This window comes from Homo sapiens, chromosome 7 (assembly GCF_000001405.40).
Source record: "Homo sapiens chromosome 7, GRCh38.p14 Primary Assembly".
Taxonomy (NCBI): domain Eukaryota; kingdom Metazoa; phylum Chordata; class Mammalia; order Primates; family Hominidae; genus Homo; species Homo sapiens.
Genome location: NC_000007.14, coordinates 5,759,041 through 5,771,157, shown reverse-complemented (window position 1 = coordinate 5,771,157; position 12,117 = coordinate 5,759,041). Strand labels below are relative to the sequence as shown.

The 12,117-nt window shown below is 43.6% G+C and overlaps 1 protein-coding gene across 10 annotated transcripts in view; it reads left to right on the top strand.

Annotated features, from left to right (window-relative positions):
• The window catches only part of RNF216 (ring finger protein 216), a 161,617-nt gene that overhangs the window by 10,506 nt on the left and 138,994 nt on the right, over positions 1–12,117 (top strand). For 7 of the 10 annotated variants that reach the window (NM_207116.3, NM_207111.4, XM_047420525.1 and 4 more), the window contains exon 2: positions 10,020–10,155. In NM_207116.3, coding sequence (NP_996999.1) covers positions 10,089–10,155 — 67 coding nt within the window. In that variant the 5' untranslated portion in view covers positions 10,020–10,088. Of the gene's footprint in view, positions 1–4,218; positions 4,264–10,019; positions 10,156–12,117 lie in introns of those variants that run through there. The other 3 variants (NM_001377156.1, XM_005249785.3, XM_047420529.1) reach the window with 2 other exon arrangements.

Below are 12,117 nucleotides of genomic sequence, written 5' to 3'. Positions count from 1 at the left end.
CTGCTCTGCAATGCTACTTTTGTCATAAACATTCATATAAGACTGAATCTGGGGCCAGGTGTGGTGGCTCACGCCTGTAATCCCAGCACTTTGGGAGGCCAAGGTGGGCGAATCACAAGGTCAAGAGTTCGAGACCAGCCTGGCCAACATGGTGAAACCCTGTCTCTACTAACAATACAAAAATTAGCCGGGCGTGGTGGTGCATGCCTGTAATTCCAGCAACTCTGGAGGCTGAAGCAGGAGAATCGCTTGAACCCAGGAGGCGGAGGTTGCAGTGAGCCGAGATCACACCACTGCACTCCGGCCTGGGCGACAGAGCAAGACACTGTTTCGGGGGGAAAGAAAAAAAAAAAAAGAATCTGTTCTGCACTCTGTTCCATTGGTCTGTTTTTCTTTTGTCAATACAATATTGTCTTAATTAGTGTAACTTAATAGTAATACAATATCTCCTACTGTAAATCCTCCTTTTGTTTTTCTCCATGAATGCTTTGGTTATTCTTGGCTGTTTTCCTGTAAATTCTAAAGTCATCTAGTATATATCTATTCTTAAAACCTGATAAAGGTTGTATTAAATCTACACATCAATTTAGAGTGAAAGGACATCTTTGCAAAATTGAACTTTCCCACCCGTGAATATGGTATGTCTCTACATTTATTTGATATTTAATTTCTCCCAGTAATCTTTTTTTTTTTTTTGAGACGGAGTTTTGCTCTCGTTGCCCAGGCTGGAGTGCATTGGCATGATCTCGGCTCACCACAACCTCCGCCTCCCAGGTTCAAGTGATTCTCCTGCCTCAGCCTCCTGAGTAGCTGGGATTACAGGCATGTGCCACCACGCCTGGTGAATTTTGTATTTTTAGTAGGGATGGGGTTTCTCCATGTTGGTCAGGCTGGTCTCAAACTCCCCACCTCAGGCGATCCGCCCACCTTGGCCTCCGAAAGTGCTGGGGTTACAGATGTGAGCCACGGCGCCCAGCCCAAGTAATCTTGTTTGATGGGGTTTCGCTGGCCTTAAACTTCTGTGCTCAAGCAATCTGCTTGCCTCAGCCTCCCAAAGTGGTGGGACTACAGGCGTGAGCCACCACGCCCAGCCGATTTTCAGTCTTTTTTTTTTTTTTTTTTTTTTTTTTTTTGAGATGGGTCTCACTCTGTCAGCCAGGTTGGAGTACAGTGGCACAATCTCAGCTCACTGCAACTTGGCCTCCTGGGTTCAAGTGATTCCTCTGTCTCAGCCTCCTGGCTACAAGCACTCGCCACCAAGCCTGGCTAATTTTTGTATTTTTAATAGAGACAGGTTTTCACCATGTTGGCCAGGCTGGTCTCAAACTCCTGACCTCAAGTGATCCGTCTATCTTGGCCTCCCAAAGTGCTGGGATTATAGGCGTGAGTCACCACGCCTGGCCGATTTTCAGTCTTTTTTCTTTTTTTCTTTTTTTTGAGACAGCTCTCACTGTCTCCCAGGTTGGAGTACAGTGGTGTGATCTTAGCTTACTGCAACTTCTGCCTCTTAGGCTCAAGCAGTCCTCCCTCCCCGGCCTCCCATGTAGCTGGTACCACAGGTGCATGCCACCATGCCCATCTAATTTGTTTGTTTGTTGGTAGAGACAGCGTTTCACCATGTTGCCCAGGCTGGTCTTGAACTCCTGAGCTCAAGCAGTCCGCCCACCTCAGACTCCCAAAGTGCTGGGATTACAGGCATGAGCCACCACGCCCAGCCTCTTTGTTTAAAATAAGGCATTTGCGGCCAGGCGCGGTGGCTCACGCCTGTAATCCCAACACTTCGGGAGGCCAAGGCCAGCAGATCACAGGGTCAAGAGATTGAGACCATCCTGGCCAACATGGTGAAACCCCTTCTCTACTAAAAATACAAAAATTAGCTGGGCGTGGTGGCGCACGCCTGTAGTCCCAGCTACTCGGGAGGCTGAGGCAGGAGAATCACTTGAACACAGGAGGCAGAGGCTGCAGTGAGCTGAGATTGTGCCACTGCACTCCAGTCTGGCAACAGAGGGGAACTCCGTCAAAAAAAAAAAAAAAAAGGCATTTGGAACTGTAAATTGTGTCTAATAAACTATTTTACCTCCTTCACATAAATTTTGATATATTTTGTTTTCATTATCTTTCAGTTTATTTAGTCAAAATAGTTAACTAATTTTCATTGTAATTTCTTCGTTAATGTGTGGATTTTAAAAGTTGCTTTGGCCGGGCACAGTGGCTCATGCCTGTAATCCCAGCACTTTGGGAGGTCGAGGCGGGTGGATCACGAGGTCAGGAGATCAAGACCATCCTGGCTAACATGGTGAAACCCTGTCTCTACTAAAAATACAAAAAAATAGCCGGGCGTGGTGGTGGGCGCCTGTAGTCTTAGTTACTCGGGAGGGTGAGGCAGGAGAATGGCGTAAACCCGGGAGGCGGAGCTTGCAGTGAGCCAAGATCGAGCCACTGCACTCCAGCCTGGGCGACAGAGCAAGACTCTGTCCCAAAAAAAAAAAAAACAAAGTTGCTTCATTTCTCACATTTCAGAATTACCTAATTATCTTTTATTGACTGTTGTCAGAGAACATGCTGTGTGATTTCAAGCCTTCAAAATTTGTTACGGCATGGCATACAGTCTGTTTTGTGAATGTTCTCATACACTTGAAAAGAATGTGTATTCTGCAGTTACTGGATAAAGTGTCAGTTAGGTCAAGCTCTTTGATAGTACTGTTCAAGTCTATCCAGCTATAAGTGGGTTCATCTTGCTTCCTTAAGGTCTGTCAATTTAAGCTGTGTGTGTGTGTGTGTGTGTGTGTGTGTGTGTGTGTGTGTGTGTGTATTTGCCTGCCTCGGCCTCCCACTACTGGACCCAGCCTTTTTTTTTTTTTTTCCCCCTAATAGCGACAAGATCTCACTATGTTTCCCAGGCTGGTCTTAAACTCCTGGGCTCAAGTGATCCTCCTGCTTCAGCCTCCCAAAGTGCTAGGATTACAGGCATGAGCTACCGCACCTGGTAATTTTTTTTTTAATCAAAGTCTGGACATTATGAATGAAAAAACTGGAAGTTCCAAATGATACTCCTCCATTGTGGTTTAAGTTTTTTAGGTGTGCAAATTAGAGTACCGGCAAATCATCTTGATCCTGTCATGGTTTGCTCTTTATTAAGTCTGTTTTCATTTTGCTCTTAACCCTTAAGATTTGGCTCTCCTAGGATCTTAGATGAAAGCTCAGTGTTTACCAGCATTCCTCTACTTTGGTTGGGCTTGACCTTTAATCTCTCTCAACAGGCTGGGAGTTGTGGCTCATGCCTGTAATCCCAGTACTTTGGGAGGCCAAAGCAAATGCATCACCTGAGGTCAGGAATTCGAGACCACCCTGGCCAACATAACAAAGTCTCCTCTTTACTAAAAATACAAAAATTAGCTGGGCATGGTGGCGTGTGCCTGTAGTCCCCACTACTCAGGAGGCTGAGGCAGGAAAATGGCTTGAACCCAGGAGGCAGAGGTTGCAGTGAGCCAAGATCGCACCATTACTTCAGCCTGGGTGGCAGAGCAAAACTCCATCTCAAAAAAAAAAAAAAAATCCCTCTCAACAATACATGTTTGCTGAGATTTCTGCTCAGCTCTTTAGCTTCTCTGCTGTTGGATTTTGGGGAGTCTAGTCCTGCATGTATGTGGCATAGGTTAACAACTTGGTGGGGGGTGAGGAGGTTATTCTGGTTTTTGGAGAGTTCTTTCTCAGTGGATTCTTCCTTGCTGGAATTTTGTCCCTTAAGTCTCAGCTACTTTGGCAGCCCCAAACTCTGACCTTCAACTCCTCAGCCCATTGAAATTGCTGCTTCTGCCTCAGGTCCATTTTTTCACACTTAAGATTTGGCATATGCCTTCAGGAGACAAAAAATATAGGATGAATGTGTCATCTCCTGATGTGCTTCTCATTTTTCATGGATCAGAGCCCCTGAAATCCTGCCAGCTGGTTTTTCACCATTGCCTTCAAAGATGTGTTTTATATATTCGTCCTTTCTGTAGTGGATTTATAAGAAGAGGCAAAGGGTTGGTCTACTATAGGCTATTAATACTTTGTCATGGCCAGAGCCAAAGTCTCTGTAAAATAAGGTTAATAAACATGCCAGGATTATAGGGTTCTTGTTAGGATTAGCTGTGTTATGCATGTAAAGTGATAAGAAAAATGGTTCATACATAGTAGCATCCTCATTTTGGCTTGTAATTTTATTCTCTCTTTTAGCCTCTGGAACAGGACCCAAGGACATTATCATTATACAGCTATCTGGTGAATATCAGTCTCTAAACATACACACGCACCCTTTATAGTTGTATAGAATTTTAGTTTCACCTTTTAAACATTTTTAAAAAGTTGTGCCACAGACATTTGTTACTTGAAATTAAGACCCTGTTTCATTATTTTCTGTGCTATATGTGTTGTTTCTGTAATTCCACCTGTATTAGTCAGCTCAAGCTGACTGATACCATAGACTAACAAAATAGCATCAGCTGGGTGACATTTAAAACAAATTTATTTTCTCACAGTTCTGGAATTTGGAAGTCTGAGAATAGAGTTTCAGCATTGTTGGATTCTGGTTAGTTCTCTCTTCCTGGATCTCAGACAACTGCCTTCTCCCTGTGTTCTCACATGATGGAGAGAAAAAGCAAGCTCTCTAGATCTCTTCTTCTCAGAGTGCCCAGCCATCATGAGGGCCCAACCTCCATGACTTCATCTAATTCTAATCACCTCCCACAGACTCCATCTCCAAATACCATTATATTGGAGGTCAGAGCTTCAATATAGGAATTTGGAGGCCAGGCGTGACACACTTTAGAGCATCACTCATCCTCTAGACTCAAGGATTTTTTTGTTTGTTTTTGTTTTAGTTTTTTGAGGCAGTGTCTCACTCTGTCACCCAGGCTGGAGTGCAGTGGCACACTCATGGCTCACTGCAACATCAAACTCCTGGGTTCAGGAGATCCTCCTGCTTCAGACTCCTGGGTAGCTAAAACTATAGGTACATGCCACCCCGCGCAGCTAGTTTTTTAATTTTTATTTTTCGTAGAGACAGGGTCTAGCTATATTGCCCAGGCTGGTCTTGAACCCCTAGCGTCAAGTGATTCTCCCACCTTGGTCTCCCAAGGATTGGTTTCCTGGATTACAAGTGTGAGCCATTGTGCCCAGCCTGGATTCATGTTTCTATTTCTTTCTTTCTTTTTTTTTTTTTTTGAGACAGAGTCTCACTCTGTCGCTCAGGCTGGACTGCAGTGGTGCAATCTGGGCTCACTGCAACCTCTGCCTCCCGGGTTCAAGCAATTCTGCCTCAGCCTCCTGAGTAGCTGGGATTACAGGCACATACTGCCACGCCTGGCTAATTTTTTTTTTTTTTTTTTTGTATTTTAGTAGAGACGGGGTTTCACTGTGTTGCCCAGGCTGGTGGCAAACTCCTGAGCTCAGGCAGTCTGCCCGCCTCAGCCGCCCGAAGTACTGGGATTACAGGTGTGAGCCACCATGCCAGCCCCATGTTTCTTTTTCATGCTTTTTGTTTGTTTCAGAGGCAGGGTCTCGCTCTCACCCTGGCTGGAGTGCAGTGGCATGATGGTGGCACACTGCAGTGTCGAACTCCTGGGCTCAAGCAGTCCTCCTGCTTCAGCTTCCTGAGTAGCTGGGACTACGGGCATGCACCACCATGCCTTATTTTTTATTTTTTTATTTTTTGAGATGGAGTCTCACCCTGTTGCCTAGGCTGGAGTGCAGTGGCACAATCTCAGCTCACTGCAACCTCCACCTTCCAAGCTGAAGCAATTCTCTTACCTCAGCCTCCCAAGTAGCTGGGATTACAGATTCCCACCTGCTACCACACCCAGCTAATTTTTGTATTTTCAGTATAGATAGTCCTCACTGTGTTGCCCAGGCTGGTCTCAACTCCTGACCTTAAGCAATCCACTGGCCTCGACCTCCCGAAGTCCTGGGATTAAAGGCGTGAGCCACCATGCCCGGTCTTGAAGTTCATTTTTTTAATAGCTCTTTGAGTATCTGTGGGAGGTAAACTCTCTTAGTCTTTGAATGTGTAAAAATTGTTTTATCCCATCCTTACTTTTTTTTTTTTTTTTAAGAGAGTCTTGCTTTGTTTCCTAGGCTGGAGTGCAGTGGGTTGGTCATAGCTTACTGTAAACTTGGAACTCATGGGCTCAAGCAATCCTCTAGCCTCAGCCTCAGGAGTAGCTGGGATCACAGATGTGTGCCACCATGCCCAACTAATTTTTTTCAGTTTTTTGTAGAGATGGGGTCTCACCAAGTTTGCTCAGGCTGGTCTCGAATTTCTGACCTCCAGTGATTGTCCCGCTTTGGCTTCCCAAAGTGGTGGGATTATAGGCATGAGCCACTGCACCCAGCCGCTACCCTTACTCTTGAAAAAGAATTTAAGGGATCATAGAATTTGAAGTTTACAATTATTTTTTCTCTACTACCTAAAGATCATATTTTATTACTTTAGTGTTAATTGCTTCTTATGAAGAGTCTTTTTTTTTTTTTGAGACGGTGTCTTGCTCTGTTGCCCAGGCTGGAGTGTAGTGGCACAATCTTGGCCTACTGCAACCTCCGCCTCCCGGGTTCAAGCGATTCTCTCGCCTCAACCTCCTGAATAGCTGGGATTACAGGTGCATGCCACCACACCAAGCTGATTTTTGTATTTTTAGTAGAGACGGCGTTTTGCCATGTTGACCAGGCTGGTCTCGAACTCCTGACTTCAAGTGATCCGCTCTCCTCAGCCTCCCAGAGTGCTGGGATTACAGGTGTGAGCCACCAAGCCCAGCCTGAAGAGTCTATTTTTATCTTTGTTTTACCTCTGGTAGTTCTACCTTATGACATTTTTATGTGTGGTTTTATTTTTACTACTGTCCAATAGCCTGTATAGTTTCACCACACCATTGCTGGTTTGAATGGATACTTATCTGTTTTTTTTTTTTTTTAATTAGTTTATTCTTTTGAGATAGAGTTTTGCTCTTGTCTCCCAACCTGGAGTGCAATGGCGTGATCTCAGCTTACTCTACAACCTCTGCCTCCCTGGTTGAAGCAATTCTCCTGCCTCAGCCTCCCAAGTAGCTGGGATTACAGGCACCTGCCACCACATCTGGATAATTTCTTGTATTTTTAGTAGAAGCAGGGTTTCGCCCATGTTGGCCAGGCTGGTCTCAAACTCCTGACCTCGAGTGATCCGCCTGCCTCGGCCTCCCAAGGTGCTTAGATTACAGCCATGAGCTGTCGTGCCCTGCCGTCTGTTTTATTTTTTAAAATCTTTATTGATACAGGCTGGGCTTGGTGGTTCACACCTGTAATCGCAGCACTTTGGGAAGCCAAGGCAGAAGGAATGCTTGAGACCGGGATATCCAAACCAGCCTGGGCAGCATAGTGAGACCCTGTCTCTACAAAAAAATTTTAAAAATTCAGCTAGGCATGGTGGTGCATGCCTGTGGTCCCAGCTACTCTGAGGCTGAGGCAGGAGGATTGCTTGAGCCCAGGGGTTCAAGGCTGTAGTGAGCCGTGATCGTGTAGCTGCTCTCCAGCCAGGATGACAGAGAGAGACTGGCTCAAAAAGAAATAAAAAAGACTACAACCTCCTCCTACTGGGTTCAAGTTATTCTCCTGCCTCAGCCTTCCAAGTACCTGGGATTACAGGTGCCTGCCACCACGCCTGGCTAATTTTTATATTTTTAGTAGAAATGGGTTTCACCACGTTGGCCCGGCTAGTATCAAACTCCTGACCTCAAATGATCTGCCCTCCTCAGCCTCTCAAAGTGCTGGGATTACAGGTGTGAGCCATCGCTCCTAGCCCTCAAAGAAATCTTTATTGATATATAATTAAAATAAAATCCATCCATTTTAGTATATAGTTCAGTGAGTTTTGACAAATGCATATACCCAGGTGACTACCACCACAATCAATATGTGGAGTGTGACTTAACCCGGAAAGGTTCCCTCATGTCACTTAACAGTTAATCTACCCACTCCCTCATTGGTACCCACCTTTTCTCCTTCCATAATAGACATGGGTTGTTGTTTTTTTTGTCCCCATTACTCTCATATGAGTCCATTTCCCAAATATTTCTCTGTTTCCTATCCCCAGAGTTCAGTAGTTCTGCTGCTTTGGCCCCATCAATAACTTCTGTGTTTCTGTTCCATTGCTGGTCCATGGAGATGTAATGTCTTGGCTTTAACACCATGATACTTCTTTTTAAAGGAAGAGAGGGATGGATTACAAAAATACAAGTCTACTACCCCACTCTGCTACCCAGATTTAACATATGTTCATGTTTTGTCTTGTTTGCTTTAAATATCTTTAAAAGAAAGAAAAAAGATGTTATATGTAACTCAAGTTCAAGTTCCTTTTCATTCTCCCTTACCCAGAAATAGTCACTGTCCTGAAGTTGCTGAGGTCATTCTTACGCATACTGTATTTTTAATTTTTTTTTTGTTTGTTTGTTTGTTTTCGAGACAGAGTCTCGCTCTGTCATGCAAGCTGGAGTGCAGTGGTGTGATCTCGGCTCACTGCAACCTCTGCCTCCCGGGTTCATGCCATTCTCCTGCCTTAGCTTCCTGACTAGCTGGGATATCAGGTGCCCGTCACCACACCCTGCTAATTTTTGTATTTTTATTATTTATTTATTTATTATTATTTTTTAAATTTTTAGTAGAGATGGGGTTTCACCGTGTTGGCCAGGATGGTCTCAATCTCCTGACCTCATGATCCGCCTATCTCAGCCTCCCAAAGTGCTGGGATTACAGGCTTGAGCCACCGCACCCAGCCTGTGTGTGTGTTTTTAATAGAGATGGGGTTTCACCATGTTGGCCAGGCTGGTCTCAAACTCCTCACCTTAGGTGATCCATCCACCTCAGCCTCCCTAAGAGCTGGGATTACAGGTGTGAGCCACCACGCCTGGCTGTATTTTTTAATTTAATATTTAAATTTAATGTATTTTAAATTTTTGTATTAACTTACATAAATGGTATCACACTTATTTTCATTTAACATTAGTTAATTTAACTGTGTTGTATCATATGAATTTTATTTATTCCTTTACTGATGTCCAATAAGGTCATTTCCAATTGCTTTTATTACATATTTGCTATAATGACCATCCCTGTCCGTATATTCTATTATGCGTATTTCTTGGAGAACACACAGAGGTTTCTTTAGCTGATATACCTGGAAGTGGAATTGCTAAGTCACAGGGAATGTACATTTGTAATTTAGGGCGTATTGCTAATTGCTATTCAGAATATCTTTTCCAAGTTACTCTTCAAACCAGCAATGTATAAGATGATTTCCCATGTCTTACATACTTGCCTTTTTTGCCACCCCAGTGGTTTGAAACATAATTCCTTTTTTTTTTTTTTGTGACGGAGTCTCACTCTGTTGCCCAGGCTGGAGTGCAGTGCCACGATCTTGGCTCACTGCAACTTCAGCCTCCCGGGTTCAAGCGATTCTCCTGCCTCAGTGTCCAGAGTAGCTGGGATTACAGGCACGTGCCACCACGCCCAGCTAATTTTTGTATTTTTAGTAGAGTTGGCATTTCACCATGTTGGTCAGACTGGTCTCAAACTCCTAACCTCATGACCTGCCCGCCTCGGCCTCCCAAAGTGCTGGGATTGTAGGCGTGAGCCACTGCGTCTGGCTGAAACATAATTCATTTTCTGATTTGCCTTTCCCTGATTATTAGTGAGGTTGAGCATCTTCTGTGTTTTCTTTTTTGTGAATTGAATTGCCTGTTAATACCCTTAGCCCATTTCTTTGTTAGCATATTTGTATCAAGATGTCATTTCTCTGTCAGTACTTTGTCTCTTTAATATGTGTATTTTAAAAATATGTTTTAATGTCATAGGTTTTGAGTTTGTGTGGTTTTTTTTTTTTTTGACCCACCTCCTTGGATATGTTTTCTTAAGGAATGTTTTCAGCATAAGCTTCAGATGTTCCCCTGACCAGATACATGGCAAGAGTTTTGATACTCCCTCATTCTTACTGTTACTCTTTGCTTCCTTTTCAGTTCTTTTGAAACAGATGGTCACCATGTTTAGATATTAGCAGTCCCATATATGCATGTCTGCATTTGAAAATGGAAGAGGGAAACAACAATGAAGAGGTAATTCACTTGAACAACTTTCACTGCCATCGGGGACAAGGTAAGTTGTTTGTTCTCACTTCATCCCTTTCCCTGTGGCTTTTTCTTTTAGTATCACAGCTGTATCTTTTGAAATGAACCTATTTTGTACCATTTAGAATCCAGGGACATTTCGTTTTTGACAAAAAGACTAGTTAGACTAGAATTATATCAGATAATGATATTGCTGGCATGAATGAAGTGTAAGACTCATTCATTACAAATGGATTAATAAGCTATTAATTTGCTGGCAAGACGCTGTTAATATGCAGTCATTGAGTCTTAAGAGACAGTGTCAGCATCAGTTTTTGAAGGCGTGGTGATTATAAAGGAGTGCTCCACTAGGCCTTTATGTTCTGAAATACTGCAGGTGTTGCTGAACCAGTCTTGTCTTCCCATGATGCTTAATTTCTTTTTTGCCAGAAGATTCTGGCTTAGCCTTGAGGGGAATTTTGGAACATGTATTTTTTTGTTCTACAGTTTTGTTTTGTTTTTTTTTTTTCTTTTTTTGAGATGGAATTTTACTCATTGCCCAGGCCAGAGTGCAATGGCGTAATCTCGACTCACCACGAGCTCCGCCTCCTGGGTTCAAATGATTCTCCGGTCTGAGCCTCCTGAGTAGCTGGGATTACAGGCATGTGCCACTACGCCCTGCTAATTTTGTATTTTTAGTAGAGATGGGGTTTCTCCACGTTGTTCAGGCTAGTCTTGATCTCTCCACCTCAGGTGATCCGCCCGCCTCAGCCTGCCAAAGTGCTGGGATTACAGGCGTGAGCCACTGCACCCAGACTGTTCTACAGTTTTTAAAGTTTTGGGGAATTTTATTGATTTGTAAAGGGAATAGTGCTTGCATTTCTGTAACATTCTTACATGTTTGTGAAATTTCCTGTTAAATTCGAATTCACATTTACACTTGGGCTAAAAGGAAAAAAATCATGCTGAGGTGTAGAATCCTTACGTTCATTTTTTGCAATTATAAATTCCATGGAAGAGGTTATACTGGTTTTCTCCCATTGATAATATTTTGTGTTTACAAAGATGATTTTTCTAGTAGAGAGTAAATTACATTTGACCTTACAAAAATGACTCCCCCAGGCCAGGCGTGGTGGCTCACTCCTGTAATCCCAGCACTTTGGGAGACCGAGGCGGGTGGATCACGAGGTCAGGAGTTCGAGACCAGCCTGACCAACATGGTGAAATCCCATCTCTACTAAAAAATACAAAAATTAGCTGGGCGTGGTGGTGCATGCCTGTAGTCCCAGCTACTTGGGAGGCTGAGGCAGGAGAATCACTTGAACCTGGGAGGCAGAGGTTGTAGTGAGCTGAGATTGTGCCACTGCACTCCAGCCTGGGCGACAGGGCAAGACTCCGTCTCAAAAAAAAAAAAAAAAGAAGAAAAATGACTCCACCAAAACTTAAGTACGAATAGCCTACTGTTGACTGGAAGCCTTACTGATAACATAAACAGTCAACACATGCGTTATATATTGTATGTTTTGTATACTGTATTCTTACAATAAAGTGAGCTACAGAAAAGAAGTGTGATTAAGAAAATCATAAGGAAGAGAAAGAAAATATATTTACTGTTCCTTAAGTGGAAGTGGACCATTCTAAAGGTCTTCATCTTCATCATCCTCACATTGAGTAGGCTGAAGAGGAGGAGGAAGAAGAGGGGTTGGTCATTGTATTAGTTCGTTCTCCACTGGCTGTAAAGAAATGCCCAAGACTGGGTAATTTGTAAAGAAAGAAAAGAGGTTTAATTGGTTCACAATTCTGTAGGCTGTATAGGAAACATAGCGGCCTCTGCTTCTGGGGGAGGCCTTAGGAAACTTACAATCATGACAGAAGGAAAAGGGGAAGCACGCTTGTCTCACATGGCTGGAGCAGGAACAAGAGGGGTTGGGGAAGAGGTGCCACACACTTTTAAACAACCAGATCTCACAAGAACTCACTGTTGCAACCAGAACGGATTGTGCTAAATCAT